Genomic DNA, 19738 nt, shown 5'->3' on the forward strand with positions numbered 1-19738 from the left:
AAAACGTGCCCAGTGTTTCCCTCCGAGGGCACTGCGTGCCGCGCAGGCGCAAAGGGCCAGGTGCTGGAGGTGCTGTCATGGCCTGCCTCAACCCGGTGGTAAGGAAGACCTCAGGCTCTGTGTAGAGGGAGCGCCCTGGGACTCCGGGTTCACGGCAGCCGAACCCTGCACCTTTTGTTTCCCCCTGACACTTTACAGATTGTCATAAACCCTCTCTCTTCCTTAGGGGCTGGGGCTCTTCTTCACGTCTGTGTTGGAGGAAGCTGCTGAGGGCCAGTAGTTCAGCAGGAAGTTGGGCCAGCCCCGCCAAAAGAACAAGTGCCCTTTTTCTCTTTTTACCCAAACTGAGGCTATCTAGTTGGGGTGTTTAGAGGTGGAACTGATCCTCAACCCTGCTGGTTTCCTAGATACTAGAAAACCTCCAAGTTCGGTTGTGTTAATTTTACCGTGGACATTGTTAATTCCAAGCTGTATTATTTACTGCTTGAAATAACAATGTGATATCTCATGTTACCTCCCCACATGTTTTTAGTGTCTTTCACTACCCGCCCATTTCGTTGTCCTTTAACAACTTAATGCTTAAGTGTACAACCTACATTACCCTCCTACCTCTAACGGACACTTAATTTGCACAGTGAGAATTTCTAGTCTCAGTGGCACTTAGGAGACCATCAATCTTAAAAACCTGAATCAAAGAACAAAAATCAAGGATTCATCTTTATTACCAATTCATCTCAACAGACTTCACATTTCGTGAAAGGCAATGTGCCTGTCCAGATCTGTGTAATTTTATGGGTTCCGGGTATTATATATGCAGTATAACAGCTCCATTTTTAGAGACATGCTACTTTAATTATATGTGTTTTATGATAGTGCGTTTTAAGATACATAAAATACCTATACTCTGCCTGAATATAAGGTTACTATGTATGCCAATTTATCTGATTGTGAATTCTATGAAGGAGTGTCTGTATTTTAAATAGAGGAGTTAAGATGGACTAGACATAGTTTTAATAACAGGGATGCAATACAAAGTCTGTGGTCATAGAAGAGAAAATATGTTCAATACCTATTTTGATTTCTGAAAAACTGTGTTCTAATGGGTACTTTTTGACTACTGCTGTGTTAAGATTTTTTAGACCTAAGAGTTTTTTCCTTCGGTGTTAAGCGTGATCACACTAGCTGGGACTACCACTGAAGCATCAATTTAGTATGCCTTTATCAGGATAAACTGTTTTAGAAGAAGCACCTAATTTAGGGGCATTTAGTCTTAATGCATGTGCTTGTGAATAACATTATTTAAATGTTACTGATTGGCCTATTCGTATAGGTTTACCCTGGGTCTTTAGAAGGATTAAAGCATAGCTTTAAATACTAAATACTCTTAGGGGCTGGGCACGGTGGCTTACACCTGTAATCCCAGCACCTTGGAAGGTCGAGGTGGGCAGATCACTTGAGCTTAGGAGTTTGAGACCAGCCTGGCCAACATGGTGAAACCCCATCTCTACTAAAAATACAAAAAATTAGCCAGGTGAGGTCGTGCACGCCTGTAGTGCCAGCTACTCTGGATGCTGAGACAGGAGAATCACTTGAACTTAGGAGGCAGATGTTGCAGTGGGCCCAGATTGTGCTACCGTACTCCAGCCTGGGTGACAGAGCAAGACTCCATCTCAAAAAAAAAAAAATAATAATAATAATAAAAAAAAAGCACAGCTACTCTTGGCATGAACAGGAGTATTTAGGAGTATTTATTTAGTACTCTTAATGAGTACTGAATAGGGTAGGATGAAAAGGCAATCCTAGAGTGCCACAATTTTCATTTTGGCGTGATTAAGCAATTTGAAATAAGAGCAACTCAACTAAATTCCTGCTTTGCTGTTTCTTGCCGGTGGAACTTCCACTAAGTCAGTATTGTCAGCACATAGCATTGCCATTTTGGCCTGGGGGCATAGTTTATATAGATATGAAGGGCTGAGTTTTTTCACATACCCTCTTTTTTGTTGCTATAACTAGTGTTTAATCTGGGTAGAAATCTGCTTAATTTCATTGTCATGGCATGTTTGACTAGGAGGTATTTTAGAATGTTATTTGGTCTCTTCAGTATGCACACTGTGGATGGGTAAGGTTGTTCGTGCCCTTCTTAGGTTCTGGTAGGAAATCCGTTTTGGAACAGGTGTATTTGATAATGGTCCAGAATATATATTTTTTGGACTTTGTGTATTTTGGAAGTGAGATGAGCTTTAATTGCTCTATTTTAAGTGTTTACCCCAGTTTTCTGGCTTGGAGTTTATTTATATTTGTGGAAATAATATAGTGAACCCTAAAAAATTCTCCTTTGGCCACTTTGATAAAGAGGTAAATTGAAAACAGAAGGTCTATTTCTGGTTGACTTACATTAATTTCCCTTTTAAAAGGAGTTGAGGAGGTTAAATACTGACACAAAAGGCAAGTAACATGACAATAACCATGCATCTTTGAGATTATTAGCTCATATGTTATTGTAGTTCTGTAATTCAGTCTTGTAGATAGGCTGAGACTATGGGTCTGAAGCTAACACAGTTTATGGAAAGCTAAGACTATATTGGGAATAGGAATGTACATAGTAAAAGTTTTAATGGTGACTTCACAAGACTAGAAGGTATGCACTGCATATCTTTTAAGGCCAAATATGTTCTAACTTGAGAAGTCAGAACTTTAACAGGCCGGGTGTGGTGGCTCATGCCTGTAATCCCAGCACTTTGGGAGGCTGAGGCGGGTGGATCACGAGGCCAGGAGTTCGAGACCAGCCTGACCATCATGGTGAAACCCTGTCTCTCTAAAAATACAAAAATTAGCGGGGCATGGTGGCATGCACCTGTAATCGCACCTACTCAGGAGGCTGAGGCAGGAGAATTGCTTGAACCTGGGACGTGGAAATTGCAGTGAACTGAGTTCGTGCCACCGCACTCCAGCCTGGGCAACAGAGCATGACTCCATCTCAAGAATAAATAAATAAATAAATAAATAAATAAATAAATAAATAAAATGAAACTTTAACAATTGCTTTTATGTAGCCTAAACTCTACAGATCTGTAATTGAAGATGTAATTGAAGGAGTTCGGAATCTATTTGCTGAAGAAGGTATAGAGGAACAAGTTTTAAAAGACTTGAAGCAGGTTTGTAGCCGATACAACTTTTTCTTCCTGTCTTTTGTTGTTTTTTTCAGCATACAAAACTGATATAGTTCTGATCTCTCAAATTATAGTTTAGTACTTACCCATTCATTGTGCCATCAGGATGACGTTAGTTTTTAAGAAACTGAAAAAAAGAGAAGTATCATTATATGTGTATATATTTTTTTAAAGTAAACTTTTTTTTTCCCCTCTGCAGCTCTGGGAAACCAAGGTTTTGCAGTCTAAAGCAACAGAAGACTTCTTCAGAAATAGCATCCAATCACCTCTGTTTACTCTTCAGTTGCCGCACAGCTTGCACCAAACATTGCAATCGTCAACAGGTTGGATACCATTAGTAAATGAGTACTGTTAGTATCTTCAGAACAAATTCTCATTTGGGAATGTTTTTCAGTTAGACAGGGTAATGTTCTTAGGGTGAGAAGGCTTGGACACCTAAATCATTTCTATTAAATGAACACAGTATAAATCATTGCCCCATGTAATTATTGATTAAAAACTCAGGTTATTCGAACTAGTTTTTATTTTAAATATTAAATTTTACAAAGATGATAAAGCCTTTCTTTAGAGGAAAGTCACATAGTTTGTCAGCTGTTGGGAGCACCCATTGGTAATTTCAGATAATTTGACTGGGTCTAGTCAAGGATTAGAAGTGGCAGAGGGAAAGGTGAGTGCTTGCAAGTTTGTGTGTTCTCTTTCTCTTATTTTTTGTGTATATTATAAATCTGATATATTGGGAGCAAAATGGAGAGTTCAGAATATGGAGATTATTCAGGCTACCTCACTGTTTTGGATATATAAAATAATGGCTAGAAATTGATCATGTGCATTTATCTTTATTCTTGGACTTAGCAAATCTAGACTTCTGCTTTTAAGGGAAATGTTTGTCCACATTATGCGTATCAATTTAAACTGGAAGGGACTAGCTAATAAAAGATAAAACTTAAGAGTTTTCTATCCTTGTATGCTTGATTCCTTTCTTTTTCTTCTGATTCTTATAATCTTTATGTTACTCATATGTGTATATATAAATGTATACTCGCATACAAACAAGTTTTATTGGGTTTAGCTGAAATTCAGCAGAGTAGTCTGCAAGAAGTGAGGGTAGATTTTGGATTGGATTATCAGTAATAAGCAGATAGTTCTTTGCATGCTTGGGAAAATTCACATGAAAATTACATGGGCCAAGGTGAAGAGAACATTGTAAGGATGCTTGTACTTCTTCTATTACAAAGTGGGAGAATTTACATGTGGCAGCAATTCTAACATATAAAAATGAATAAATTAACAATGAATGTTGAATTAGCAAATACAAGTTTTATCGAATACTGTGTTAATAAAGTATAATTTTGCTCTGTAAGAATTAGTCTTGGCAGTTTTAATTGTTGACACATTGAAACATTTTTCATCAGTTGGGTTTTTGGCTATGCTTTAATTTTAAACTACTATTTCATTGGGACATCTCCTTCTCTGTTTAAATAACATTCCTTTGGAGTTTTGTTAATCACTGTTTTATTTATTACAGAATGCTAAAGATGTTTTTTTAACTTATGGTTGGCATGAGGGTGTGGTGGGTATGGAAGAGGAAAATACTTGACTGTCTTTTATCAGAAGAGGCCGAGGTGGGTGGATCACCTGAGGTCAGGAGTTCTAGACCAGCCTGGCCAACATGGCGAAACCCTGTCTCTACTTAAAAACAAAAACAAAAGCACAAAAATTAGCCAGGCGTGGTGGCTCATGCCTGTAATCCTAGCTACTTGGGAGGCTGAGGCAGGATAATCACTTGAACTTGGGAGGCAGAGGTTGTAGTGAGCTGAGATCGCGCCACTGCATTCCAGCCTGGGCGACACAGTGAGACTCCATCTTAAAAAAAAAAAAAAAAAGCATGGTGAACACTTCTAAGATTCTGTCATTCAAAATTGCAATACTAGATTTTGCCGCAAGATGGTAATATTACCAGTGATTTAAATAACAAAAGTCTTGCAACTAGTGTATCAAGTTTGTTTTTACTCAGCTCCTTATTCTGTATCTTAGCAGTTAGAATAATAGAAATAATTACATTTTAAATAGTTTTTCTCCTTATTCTCTTCTACATCATTTATAATGAAGAGGTTTCAGAGGAATTACATGTATCCCTTAAAAGTGCTTTATAGGCTTGTTCCTGTCTCTCTTCATCTTTAGGTACCAAACAGTAAGATTCTTGAAATAAATAGTCTCATAAAATTGAAGTACTTCTTAATTATATCTTCTCATGGTATGCTTTTAAAAGCCTGATTAAAATAACTTAAACTTCTAGAATTTTTTTATCTCTTTTGATAGCAAGTTCAAATTAAATCTACAATTCAATAAGTCATTTGCCTTTGTCTGTACCATCTTAAAACTTGTTTGCTCAGTCAAAATCACAATGAGATACCGTCTCACACTAGTCAGAATGGCTATTATTAAAAAACTGAAAAACAGATGTTGGTGAAGCTGCAGAAAAAAGGGACCACTTATGCACTGTTGGTGGGAATGTAAATTTGTTCAGCCACTGGAAAGCAGTTTGCAGATTTCTCAACTTAGAGCTACAATTCAACTCATCAGTTCTATTACTAGGCATTTACCCGAAAGAAAATAAGTTGTTCTAACAAAAAGACACCCACACTTGTATGTTTATTGCAGTACTACTCACATTAGCAAAGACATGGAATCAACTCAACCCATACATGGTGGATTGGATAAAGAAAATGTGGTACATATATACCATGGAATACTATGCAACCTTAAAAAAGAGAGAAAGAAATGTCCTTTGCAGCAACATGGGTGTTGCTGGGGCCATTATCCTAAGTGAATTAACACAGGAACAGAAAACCATATATTGCATGTTCTCACTTATAAATGGGAGTTAAACATTGGGTACATACAGACAGAAAGGTGCGAACACTGGGTACTCCAAAAGGAGAGAAGGAGAGAAGGGGGCAAGGGTTGAAAAACTACCCGTCAGGTACTATGTTCACTATTTGGGTGACAGGATCAATAGAAGCTTAAACCTCAGCATCATGTGATATACCCACGTAGCAAACCTGTACACATACCCCCTGAATCTAAACCCAGAAACTTGTTTGCTCTATCATATGTTCTTCGTTTTTTATTTGTGTAGTAATTTCCTGTATCTTCAGTTCTCTACTTTGTTTGGTCTCAGGACCCCTTTAAGCTCATAAAAATTAAGGACCCCAAATAGCTTTTAAAATGTGGGTTGTAAGTATCTATTTACTATGTTGGAAATTAAAACAAAAATTTAAAAAATATTGGTTTATTTAAAAATTTAATTACATGTTAACATAATAGCATATATTTATGAGTAATAATTCTTCGAGAACAAAAATATTTAGTAAGAAGAGTGTCATCAATTAATGTCGGCTTAATGAGGTTTGCAGAAATGAGCTGGATTCTTATCTATTTCTATTTATTTACATTTTATTGTATGTAAGGTGTTCACCATAGTGCTTTGATATAGATAGATAGATAGATAGATAGATAGTGAAGAGGTTGGTATAGTCTAGCAAATTAACATATCTGTCATCTCACATAGGTGCTCATTTTAGGTACTTTTAGTATGCCTTAAGTCTTCTCTTTTAGCAAAAATCCCAAGTGCAGCACAACATTATTAAGTATAGCCCTCATGTTATCTATTAGATATTTAGACTTATTGATCCTATGTATCTGTGACTTTGGATCCTTTCACCTACATCTTCTTATTTTCTCCCTTCCTGCCTCTGGTAACTGCTATTTTATTCTCTATGTCTGTATTTGTGGTTTTTTTTTTTTAACATATAAATGAGATCATGCAATACTTTTCTTTTTGTGTCTGGCTTATTTCACTTAGTATAATGTCCTTCAGTTTCATCTATGTTGTGACAAATGGCAGACTCTCCCTCTTTTAAAAAGCTGAATCATATTCCTCTGTGTGTGTGTGTATACAGACATACCACAATTTCTTTATCCATTTGTCCATTTGCAGACACTTCGGTTGTTTACAAATCTTGGCTATCGTGAGTAATATTGCAATGAACTTGGAAGTGTAGATATTTTTATGAGGTAGTAGTTTAATTTCCTTTGGGTATATATCCATAAGAAGGATTGCTGAATCACGTGGTAATTCTATTTTTAATTTATTTAGGAATCTCTGCACAGTTTTATACAATGGCTGACCATTCTGCATTCCCACCAACAGAGTACAGGGGTTTCCTTTCCTCTGTACTCTCACCAACACTTGTCGTCTCTTTTCTTTTTGGTAATAGCCATCCTAACAGGTGTGAGTTGATATCTTAATGCAGTTTTGACTTATATTCCTCTGATGAATAGTGATGTTGAGCACCTTTTTGTATACCTGTTAGCTGTTTTTATGTTGTCTTTGGAAAAAGATCTATTCAAGTCCTTTGCCAATTTTTGAAAAGGTTATTTGTTTTTCTGTTATTGAGTTGTGTAAATCTTTTAATATATTTTGGATATTAAGCCCTTTATCAGATATATGGTTTGCAAATATTTTCTCCGTATCTGTTGGCTGCTGTTTTATTTTGTTATTTGTTTTCTTTGCTGTGCAGGAGCTTTTTAATTTGATGTCTGTATTTATTTTATTTTATTTTATTTTTTTGAGGGAGGGTCTTGCTCTGTCATCCATGCTGGAGTACAGTGGAGCAATCATAGGTCACTGTAGCCTTGACTTTCCAGGGTCAATTGATCCTCTCACCTCGACTTCATGAGTAACTGGGACTACAGGCATACTCTATCATGCCTGGCTAATTTTCACATTTTTTGTAGAGACCAGGTTTTGCTGTGTCGTCCAGGCTGGTCTTGAACTCTTGGAATGAAGCAATCCTCCTGCCTCGGCCTCCCAAAGTGCTGGGATTACAGATGTGAGCGACTGTGCCTGGCTTATTTATTTTCGCTTTTGTAGCCCGAGCTTTTGGTGTGATATCCAAAAAATCATTGCCAAGGCCATTGTCAAACAGGTTTTCCTCTGTGTTTTTGTCTTGGAGTTTTATGGTTTAAGGTCTTATGGTTAGGTCTTTTGTCTATTTTGAATTGATTTTTATGTATGGTATGAAAATAAGAGTCCATTTCATTCTTTTGTGTGTGGAAATTCACTTCTTCCACCAACAACCATTTATTGAAGAAACTATCCTTTCCCCATTGTGTCCTCTTAGCACCCTTGTTGAAAATCAGTTGACCATATGTGTTTGGGTTTATTTCTGGGCTCTCTATACTGTTCTGCTGGTCTTTGTGTCTGTTTTTGTCAGTGCCATACTGTTTTGATTACTACAGGTTTGCAATATAGTTTTAAACAAGAAAATGTGATACCTCCAACTCTGCTTTTTTTTTCTTCCCCTCTGAATTGCTTTGGTATTTAATGTGTTCTGTTGTTCCATATGAATTTTAGACTTTTTTTTGTATTTCTATAAAGAAAGTCATTGGAATTTTGATAAGAGATTTTGTTGAATCCATATTTTGCTTTGGGTAGTATGGACATTTTAATGATATCAGTTATTCCAGTCCATGAACATGGGTATTTTCCCATTTATTTGTGTCCTTCAGTTTCTTATATCAATGTTTTATAGTTTTCAGTGTACATATCTTTTTTTTTGAGGCAGGGTCTGGCTCTGTCATCCAGGCTGGAGTGCAGTGGCACAACCTTGGCTCACTGCAGCCTCCACCCCCTGGGCGCAAGCCATTCTCCCACCTCGGACTCCCAAAGTAGCTGGGACTACAGGCATGTGCCACAACATCTGACTAATTTTTGTATTTTTTGTAGAGGCAGGGTTTCTCCATACTGCCCAGGCTGGTCTCAAACTCCTGAGTTCAAGCAATCCACCTACCTTGGCCTCCTAGAGTGTGCATATCTTTCACCTTCTTGGTTAAATATATTCTTAAGAATTTTATTTTTTAAGATGCTATTGTAAATGAGATTGTTTTTATGATTTTTTGGATAGGTAGTTATTTGTGTACACAAATCCCACTGATTTTTTTTGTTGATTTTGTATCCTGCAACTTTACTGAGTTCATCCTCTTTAAATATTTGGTAGAATTCAGCCATGAAGCCATCTGGTTCTGGGCTTTTCTGTGTTGGGAGGTTTTTAATTACTACCTCGATCTCTTTATTTTTTATATCTGTTCCTAAATTCAATCTGTTGTGATATGTTGTTTTTGTGAAAGTATAGGAAGAAAATCTAGCCTTCCACAGATACATAGTTGGAAAAAAGGGAAGCATTTTAATAGTATTTTCAGATAATTGATAACTACACTAAAACTCAACAAATGGTAGTTTCTGAGAGGTTAGCTGCATGATGGAATCTGGAACCACAAGGAACTTTTTGGAATATTTCATTAGGGTTTATTGGTATACCTTGCACTTTGAATGGCTTTTTAACACGTGTAATGTTACAGCATACATTGGTTATTTGGAAAAATTGGTTTCCTGTCATACAGTTGAAACGTTGTTCATTATACAAGTTTAAAAAAATCATATTCATTGATATAACTAGGCCTCTCATCCATTGTGGTTGATATGAATTTTCCAAAATTAAATTTTTGCTTGAAAAGTTGAGTTTTATCATTGGCAAATACATGCTGTTAGTTTTTCTTAAAGTGATGGGCATGCTTAGTTTATGTTTAAAAAAATGTCTGCCAGATACCCAGTTTGAATAACTATAGTTGCTGTCAGATATTCTTTCAAGTAAAAATGGTGTTTCTTGAAAAAAGAGGCCATGTTTTTTTTTCTTTTCAACTTTTATTCTAGATTCAGGGGTACACAGGCAGGTTTGTTACATGGGTATATTGCATGATTCTGAGGTTTGGGGTACAAATGCATAGTACCCCCAGGTACTGAGCATAGTATCCAGTAGTTAGTTTTTCAACCCTTGCCTTCCTCTCACCCTCATCCCTCTAGTAGTACCCATTTTCTCTTGTTGGCATCTTTATGTCCATGGGTACTCAATGTTTAGCTTCTATTTGAAAGTAAGAATATGTGGTATTTGTTTTTCTGTTCCTGCATTAATTCACTTAGGATACCAGCCTCCAGCAGCATTCGTGTTGCTGCAAAGGACATGATTTCTTTGTTTTTTATGAGTGCATAGTGTTCCATGGTGTATATATACCACATTTTCTTTATCCAATCCACTATGGATGGGCACCTGGATTGGTTGCATGTCATTGCTGTTGTGAATAGTACTGTGATGAACATGGGAGTGCATGTGTCATTTTGGTAGAAAGATTTCTTTCTTTTGGATATATAGCCAATAATGGGATTGCTGGGTCAAATGGTAGTTCTATTTTAAGTTCTTAGGGAAATCTCCAAACTGTTGTCCACAGTGGCTGAACTAATTTACATTCCCACCAACAGTGTACAAGTGTTCTTTTTTCTCTGCAGCCTTGCCAGCATTGGTTGCTTTTTGACTTTTTAATAATAGCCATTGTGACTGGTGTGAGGTGGTATATTCTTGTGTTTTGATTTGTATTTCTCTGGTGATTAGTGATGTGGAGCATTTTTTCATATATTGGCCACTTCTATATCTTTTGAGAAGCATCTGTACATGTCTTTTGCCCACTTTTTAATGGGGTTATTTGATTTTTTGTGAATTGTTTTAAGTTCCTTATAGATTCTGGATATTACAACTTTGTCAGATGAGTAGTTCGTGAATATTTTCTACCATCCTGTAGGTTGTCTGTTCACTCTGTTGGTAGCTTCTTTTGCTGTGCAGAAGCTCTATAGTTTAATTAGGTCTCACTTGTCAATTTTGTTTTTGTTGCAATTGCTTTTGAGAATTTAGTTATAAATTATTTTCCAAGGCCGATTTCTAGAATGGTGTTTCCTAGGTTTTCTTCTAGGATTCTTATAGTTTGAGGTCTTACATTTAGAACTTTAACCCATCTTTGTAACTGAATGCAAGTTCAGTCACTCACTGCTTGCAGAGTCCAGTTAACAAGAGGGAGGTGTGGTAGGAAGAAAGTGACTTTGCAGCCAGGTGCGGTGGCTCATGCCTGTAATCCCAGCACTTTGGGAGGCCGAGGTGGGCGGATCATGAGGACAGGAGTTTGAGACCAGCCTGACCAACATGGTGAAACCTGTCTTTACTAAAAATACAAAAATTAGCCAGGCTTGGTGGTGCGTGCCTGTAATCCCAGCTGCTCAGGAGGCTGAGGCAGGAGAATTGCTTGAACCTAGGAGGCAGAGGTTGCAGTGAGCCAAGATCATGTCACCGCACTCTAGCCTGGGCAACAGAGCGAGACTCCGTCTCAAAAAAAAAAAAAGTGACTTTATTTCCAAAGCTGGCAAGGAGGAAGTGGCTTGATTCCTGTCCAAAGCAATGATTTTGAATTTTGATGAGGGAAGGCAAGGGTTTAAAAAGGTAAAACTTGATATGGAAGGCATGTAAGAATTGTACTGAGTACAACGTCTGTGTGTCTTGTTCTGTTGGCTTTCTTGGGTTCCAGTCCACCTGGAGCATGGGCTGGAGTCATCTCAACAATGGCAAGGTTGTGGACTAGCTGCCTTGCATTTATCACTGCAGTTTTGCAGCTGGGTCCCCAGGCTTGGTCTGTTTGTCTCAAGATTAGCCCCTAGAACTTCTAACTAGGCACATAATTAGATACTAGCATACAGTTAGATAGATGTGAAGGGAGTATATGCGGTGAGAAAGGGAAGGACATGAAGTCTATTTTCAGGCTAAGGGAAAAGGCTTCTGAAGTTTGCTTCAAGGTTAGGTCTTGAATCCAAAGGGAAAGGAAAAAAAAAGTTTTAAAATGTATTTTGAATTTAAGCTGCCCAGTTACATCTTGAGTTAATTTTTGTATGTGGTAAAAGGTAGGAGTCTAGTTCATTCTTCTGCATATGGCTACCAGTTGCCCCATCACCATTTATTGACTAGGGAGTCCTTTCCCCGTTGCTTATTTTTGTCGACTTTGTCAAAGATCAGATGGCTGTAGGTGTGTGGCTTTATTTCTGAGTTCTCTATTCTGTTTCATTGTTCTATGTTTATGTTTTTGTACTGTTGCTATGCTGTTTGGTTACTATAGACTTATAGTATGGGTGAAGTTCTGTAATATGATGCCTCCAGTTGTGTTCTTTTTTGCTTATGATTGTTTTGGCTGTTCAGGCTCCTTGTTGGTTCCATATGAATTTTAGAACAGTTTTTTTCTAGTTCTGTGAAAAATGACATTGGTGGTTTGATAGGAATAGCATTGAATCTGTAGATTTCTTTAGGATGTATGGCCATTTTAATGTTATTGATTCTTGTATTCCATGAGCTTGGAGTGTTTCTCCATTTGTTTGTGTCATCTATGATTTCTTTCAGCAGTGTTTTGTAGTTCTCCTTGTAGAGATCTTTCCCTTCCTTGAGTAGATGCGTTCCTAGGTATTTTATTTTTGTGTGTGGCTATTGCAAATGGGATTGTGTTCTTGATTTGGCGTTCAGCTTGAACGTTGTTGGTGTAAAGAAATGCTACTAATTTTATACATTGGTTTTGTATCCTGAAACTTAACTGAAGACATGTATTAGTTCTAAGAGTCTTTTGGTGAAGTCCTTAGGATTTTCTAGGTATAAGACCATATTGTCAGTGAAGAGAGATAGTTTGACTTGTTTTCCTGTTTGGATGCCTTTTACTTTTTCTCTTGAGTGATTGTTCTATACCTCCAGTATTATATTGAATAGGAGTGGTGAGATTGGGCATCCTTGTCTTTTCTGGTTCTCAGGGAGAGTTCTTCCAATTTTTGCCCATTTAGCATGGTGTTGGCTGTGAGTTTGTCATAGATGGCTCTTATTATTTTGAGGTATGTTCCCTCAATGCCTAGTTTCTTGAGGGTTTTTCTTTTATCATGAAGTCATGTTGGATTTTACCAAAAGCTTTTTCCATGTATATTGAGATGATCACAGGTTTTTGCTTTTAATTCTGTTTATTGTATTTGTCAATAAATCATATTTATTGATTTGCATATGTTGAACCAACTTTACATCCCAGGAATGAAGCTTATTTAGTTGTGGTGAGTTAACTTTTGATGAGCTGCTGGGTTCAGTTTGCTAGTATTTTGTTAAGGATTTTTGCTCTGTGTTCATCAGGGATGTTGGCCTATACTTTTCTTTTTTTATCATGTCTTTTTCAGGTTTTGGTATAAAGGCGACGCTGGCTTCATAGAATGAGTTAGAGAGGAGTCCCTTCTCCTCAACATTTTGGAATAGTTTTCAGCATATTTGGAATAGTATCAGCACTACTTTGAACATCTGGTAGAATTCAGCTGTGAGTCTATCTGGTCTGGGGCTTTTTTTGGGTGGTAGGTTTTTTATTACTAATTCAATTTTGGAACTCGATATTGGTCTGTTCAGAGTTTTAATTTCTTCCTGATTCAATCTTGGGAGATTTTATGTTTCTAGGAATTTATCCATTTCCTCTAGATTTTCTAGTTTGTGTATGTAGAGGTATTCTAATAGTATCTGAGGATCTTTTGTATTTCTGTGATTGGTTGTAATGTCATCTTTGTCATTTCTGACTGTGCTTATTGGAATCTTCCCTTTTTTTCTTTGTTAATCTAGTTAGTGTTCTATCGATATTGTTTATCCTTTCAGAGAACCGGTGTTTGGTTTCATTGATTCTTTTTTTCCCCCTTAATGATCACTGTCAGAAAATCATTGATTCTTTGTATGGATTTTTGGGTCTCAATTTTGTTGTGTTTCACTCCGATTGTAGTTATTTCTTTTCATCTGGCTCTAGGGTTAGTTCTTGTTTTTCTAGTTCCTCTAGGTTTGATGTTAGATTGTTAATTTGAGATCTTTCCAACTTTTTGTGGTAGGCATTTAGTACTATACAGTTTCCTCTTAATACTGCTTTTGCTTCATCTCAGAGATTTTTGGTATGTTGTGTCTGTGTTTTCATTTATTTCAAATAATTTTTTGATTTCTGCCTTAACTTTGTTGTTTACCCAAAAGTCATTCAGGAGCAAGTTTTAAAATTTCCATGTAATTGTGTGATTTGGAAAAATCTTGGTATACATTTGTTTTTGTTTTTGTTGTTGTTGTTTTTTGCTTCCAACTGTTATTAGTCTTTTTATTCTCTTGGCAATGTCTTCCAGAGTTAACTACTTCTGTTGTAGGTGATAAAAATGTATAAGGCTCTACTTCAGATGTTGGTACTGCTGTGAGCGTGGTCTCTTCCTTTACTCAACTGAGAATTAAAACTTGATTCTTTTTTATATTCCAGTCCCAGAAGTAATTCCCTCTATAGAAGTTATCTAATGATAGTCTTATTCATCCTAGTAGTGGCTTACAACCAGGCTCTAACCTCTCCAGGAATACTATAGGATGGATTTAGCATAAACATATATTAAACTAAAAAGGATTCTTTCAAATGAGTTTAAGTGCATTTTATTTTTAGACAACCTACTTGACAAGTTTTTTGTTTTTTTTTTTTGACAGAGTCTTACTCTGTCACTAGGCTGGAGTGCAGTGGCGTGATCTCGGTTCACTGCAACCTCCGACTCCCTGGTTCAAGCGATTCTCCTGCCTCAGCCTCCTGAGTAGCTGGGATTACAGGCATGCACCACCATGCCCAGCTAATTTTTTTATTTTTAGTAGAGATGGTGTTTCACCATATTGGCCAGGTTAGTCTCCAACTCCCAACCTTGTGATCCACCAGCCTTGGCCTCCCAAAGTGCTGGGATTACAGGCGTGAGCCACCACGCCAGCCGACCTGTTTTTCTTAAAAACAATGCTTCCACTCCAAAGATATAATGGTCGAAATAAATGAAGAGCTCAAGTTGACATCAGTCCAATTTATCTTAAGTCATTGTGTCATGTGGGTGATAGGCAGCAAGCAGTTGTGATGACAGGTGATAGAGCCAAAGTAATTGCCAATTGGTTAACATTTTTCCATTTCTAAACCATCTTTAAAGAAAATCATATACAGGGTCACACCATCCTCATGGTAGAGCAACTATGCCATCTGGATTCATGTTTTTACTGGTAAAAAACTGGTAGTTGTTGAAATTAGTAAGATGTGCTTGGTTTGTTCTACAGCTTCTGTCATAAAAGGTTTTACTGTTTAGGTCTCTGTTCTTCATGTTGGCCTTTGATTGATTTTATGTAATCTTTGATGTACTTCTTGTAGGCTTCTTTTTGAAGTTTGTTTCCTGCAAGTGATGGTTCATGACAGTATCAACATAAGTGATTAATGTGCTTTCGGTACCCTCACCCTCAGGGCCTTCTGCGGAGGCATTTCTGTCAATGTTACCCTCTGTCCTACTGACTATCTTCTTCCCCACCCCCCCGTCCCACTTCCAGGCACAGCCAGTCTGCAATCTCCCAGATATTGTAAATGTTGGAGAACAGCTCATCATGGCTGATAAGGTCCGGGTAGATAATCTTGATGGCAGCTGAAGGGAGATGCGGTGGTGCTGGCTTAGCAGGATTCCAGAGATTAGAGTGAACATGATGCAGCTGGAGCAGTGCTTGGTGGGTGGGAGGAGTGGGTGGAAAAGGAGATTTCTGTTTTTATTCCTCTGTGGTCTATGAGTATGGTTGGTATGATAATTTTTTTGAACTTATTGAGATTTGCTTTATGGCTGAGCATACGGTCAATTGTGGAGTATGTTCCATGTGCAGATGAGAAAAGTATTGTTCTATGGCCAATGGGTGGAGTATTCTGTAGATGTCCATGAGGTCCAATTGGTCAAGTTTAAATTCATAATTTCTTTGTTAGTTTTCTGCCTCGATGATCTAATGTTTTCAGTAGGATTTCAATAGGGGGAAGTCCCCCACCATTATCGTATGGCTGTATAAGAGTTTTGTAGGTCTAGAAGTACTTGTTTGTAATTCTGGGTGCTCCAATTTTGGGTGAGTGTATATTTAGGATAGTTAAGACTTCTTGTGGAATTGAATGCTTATCATTATATAATGGCCTTCTTTGTTTTTTATTGTTGGTTTAAAGTCTGTTTTGTCTTATATAATAATAGTGACCTCTGCTCTTTTTTTGTTTTCTATTTGCTTGGTGGATCACTCTTCAGCCCTTTATTTTGAGCCTATGGGTGTTTTATGTGCATCTTGTTTTTTATCTAACTTGCCACTTTGTGCCTTTTTAGTGGAGTGTTTAGACCATTTACATTCAAGGTTAATATTGATATGTGAGGTTTTGTTTTTATTGAGAAGGAGTCTTGCTCTGTCACTCAGGCTGGAGTGCAGTGGCACAATCTCAGCTCACTGTAACCTTCGTCTCCGGGTTCAAGAGGTTCTCCTGCCTCAGCTTCCTGAGTAGCTGGGATGGCAGGCGAGCATAACCACGCCTGGCTAATTTTTGTATTTTTAGTAGAGACGGGATTTCACCATGTTACCAGGCTGATCTCAAACTCCTTACCTCAAGTGATCTGCCTGCCTCGGCCTCCCAAAGTGTTGGGATTACAGGCATGAGCCACTGTGTCTCTGGCTGATATGTGAGGTTTTGATCCTATCATGAAATTGTTAGCTGGTTGCTTTGTAGTTTCTGTTGTGTGGTTACTTTATAGGGTCTGTTTATAGGCCTAAGTGTGTTTTCATGGTAGCTGGCATCAGTCTTTTGTTTCCGTGATTAGAACTCCCTTAAGGAGCTCTTGTAATGGTGGTCTAGTGGTAACTAACTCCTTTAATGCTTGCATGTCTGAAAAAACCTTTATTTCTCCTGTGCTTATGAAACTTAACTTGGCAGGGTATGAAATTCTTGGTTGGAATTTCTTTTCATTAAGAATACTGAAAATAGGCCCCTAGTCTCTCCTGGCTTGTAAGGTTTCTGCTGAGAAGTCTGCTTTTAGCCTAAAGGGTTTCCTTTTGTACAGGATCTGACCTTTTTCTCTAGCTGCCTCTAAGATTTTTTCTTTAGCATTGACCTTTGACAGTCTGGGAGGGCAGGGGCCATGAAGAGTGGGGCCAGATTGGGCACATCCATCTACAGGTCCCCCAGTGGCAGGTACAAGCACTGAAGCTGAGGGAGAATCCAGTGGGCAGCCACCAGGTGCCCAGAGGTATATCTAGGCATGGAACTGGGAAACCTCCTTGGCCCCAAGTTCTCTGCACAGTGATGAGGGGCAGCCTAAAATTCTAATCCAGGGTAGTGAGTGCTCCAGATATCTGGAGATCTGCCTGGGCATGGAGTGGAGAGGGCCTTCCTGCATCAAGATCTCTGCATAGGAGGGGTGGGATGACTCAGGCTAGTGGACCAGGCAAGCAGGTGCTATGAATACCTGGAGATCTGCCTAGGTGTGTAGCAGAGAGGGCCCCCTTGCACCAGGATCTCTGCACAGGAAGGGTGGAGTGGATCAGGCTGTTAATCAAGGTGAGTGGGTGCTCCAAAGGTCTAGACATCTGCCTGGGCATGGAGTGGAGATGACCCTTCTGCAGCATGATCTCTGTCCATGAAAGATGAGTGGCTCAGGCTGCTGGTCACGCAAGCAGGTGCCCTGAATGCCTGGATTTCTGCTTGGGGGGTGGAGCAGAGGGGACCCCACTTCACCTCGATCCCAGGGGAACAGCAGGGGCACCAAGTGATGGCACATGCAGTTCAGTTTCAGATTGCCAAGCTGGCCCTGGCTGCAAGTCTCATTGCCCAGGAGAGACTGCAACTGTAGCAGCTCTCCTCCCACTCCAGGCTTGCAATAGGGAAGAGTATAATTCCAATACCTACTTCTGAGGTGCTTTCCACCTCAGAAGTGGTGGAGGCTGTGGAGGCTACTACCCTGCTCCAGAGCAGGTGCTTCAGTCTGTGGCGCAAGAGTAAAATGCTTGTATGGCCATGCAGCTGGGTTACCTAGAATGGCTGACTTTGTATGCAACCAGATTAAAAATGGCATCCTGTGCTTGGTCCTATGTCTGGGAAAGTGTCTGCAGCTTCTCCTAGTGTTTTTCCCTCACAGCGTCTCCAACCCTTTCCCCAAGTTAGCTTCAGGGATTGGGAGGAAAAAAAAAGTTCTCCCTCAGCCTGAGTTGCTCTGATCTCCTGTGGAAAGGTGAGTCACTGAGGGAGGCTGTCTTTCTCTCTCATGTACTGGGGCTTCACTTACTTTTATCAGCCAAATGCCATCACAGTGGCTGTTTGGCAGGATTCTCGTCTTTGGGATTTGGAGTATCCTGCATGATTCCATTAGATTCTCATTTTCCTTCTTGAATTAAAGCTCAAACCATTGATCTTTATTTACTATTTTGTTATTTCCAAATGGTGGAGGCCTGCTAACAGGCTTTAATCTGCCACCTGAGGAAAAAAAGGCTATATTAACTCCCAGCTTAAACAATGACACAAATGCTTTTCCTTGTACTTTTGCATGCTGCAGAAATGCTTTATCCTTCTATTTCATCTCGTAAAATATTAAAAGGAAGTATACTTGCTAGTTGAAATTTAGTATAATAATTCTTAGATTATGCAAAGGACTTTCTTACCTTAAGTGAAATATCTTTGTGGTTGTTCCTGCTGTTTTTGTCTGTTGTGTTTTTTTAACTGTGAGTAGCAATTGAGAATAAAGTGACCACTTGCAAGGTTTGGTGCTACTAACTTAATTCATGCTAAGATGTCTACAGTTTTACTTGTTATTGCTTTTGCATCATCAGTTCAAATGTCAACAAAACCAAATAAAAATACTAAATGAGAAAAAGGCATACTTTGTCTTGGTATCATGAAAATAGTTTTGACCTTATAAACACCCTGAAAATGGTCTTAGGTAGCCTCAGTGGTTTGTATATTACACTCCGAGAACTGTTGTTCTGCATGTAGGGTGACTATATGTAATTTATAATCTAGTTTTGAGAGAGAGACAAATGGGGTTCTATTAATAATTACCTCAGAATAACAGGTGTAAACTGGGACTGTCCTGGGCAAATTGGGACGTGTAGTCACCCTATGATTACCTTATTTCTAGGGGACTTCAAGTCAGCTTCTGTATTTGGTCTTCATGTCACATGATCTTTTTAAAATGATACTATCAGTCATGATGGAAGGAAGGGAAGGGAGGAACAGGGACACTGAGAGGTTTGTGGTTGCTTTCATATTTGAGCATTAAAACTCCTAAAGTATAGGTGTAAACTGTATGTCCGATTGTTCTTGAACTTAGATGTGTTGAAAATTTCAGCAATGTGGTTGGTTCTTTAGGTGATTTGAGAGTTAGAATATTGTTTGGTCATCAGGAGACATCTTTTATGCTAATGCGTATTCACAAAGAAGAAATTCACCTGTTTCTATATTTCCTGAATCATGTAATTTTATTATTAAAATTTGGATTGGTTCAAAGAAGATCCAAGAATCATAAAACTATAACTGCCGCAATGTATCAAAGAATTTTTGATGGTGAATAAGAAACAATACACTTATGAATGTGGATATTGTTATGCCATGTTAGTGTATTATAACATTCTTAAAATTATGTTTGTGGAGTTGAATTCTTGCTATGTTAAAATTTATTGTTAAATTTACTATTTCTAATGAGAACAAAGATACAATATACCAGAATCTCTGGGACACAGCTAAGGCAGTGTTAAGAGGGAAATTCATAGCACTAAATGCCCACATCAAAAAGTTAGAGAGATCTCAAA

General features: G+C 38.3%; 2 protein-coding genes and 1 pseudogene across 5 annotated transcripts in view; 2 read left to right on the plus strand and 1 right to left on the minus strand.

Annotated features, from left to right (window-relative positions):
* The window catches only part of STON1-GTF2A1L (STON1-GTF2A1L readthrough), a 246595-nt gene that overhangs the window by 87873 nt on the left and 138984 nt on the right, over positions 1 to 19738 (plus strand). For all 3 annotated transcript variants that reach the window (NM_001198593.2, NM_172311.3, NM_001198594.1), the window contains 2 exons: positions 3054 to 3155; positions 3370 to 3493. In NM_001198593.2, the coding sequence (NP_001185522.1) occupies positions 3054 to 3155; positions 3370 to 3493 (226 nt within the window). The remainder of the gene's footprint in view (positions 1 to 3053; positions 3156 to 3369; positions 3494 to 19738) is intronic.
* Positions 59 to 19738, plus strand: part of GTF2A1L (general transcription factor IIA subunit 1 like) — a 61749-nt gene continuing 42069 nt past the window's right edge. The window contains exons 1-3 of one of the 2 annotated variants that reach the window (NM_006872.5): positions 59 to 98; positions 3054 to 3155; positions 3370 to 3493. In NM_006872.5, coding sequence (NP_006863.2) covers positions 78 to 98; positions 3054 to 3155; positions 3370 to 3493 — 247 coding nt within the window. In that variant the 5' untranslated portion in view covers positions 59 to 77. The remainder of the gene's footprint in view (positions 99 to 3053; positions 3156 to 3369; positions 3494 to 19738) is intronic. The other variant, NM_001193487.3, reaches the window with a different exon arrangement.
* On the minus strand, positions 14883 to 15672 carry TPT1P11 (TPT1 pseudogene 11; annotated as a pseudogene).

The sequence above is a fragment of the Homo sapiens genome, chromosome 2 (assembly GCF_000001405.40).
Source record: "Homo sapiens chromosome 2, GRCh38.p14 Primary Assembly".
In the NCBI taxonomy this organism is placed as follows: domain Eukaryota; kingdom Metazoa; phylum Chordata; class Mammalia; order Primates; family Hominidae; genus Homo; species Homo sapiens.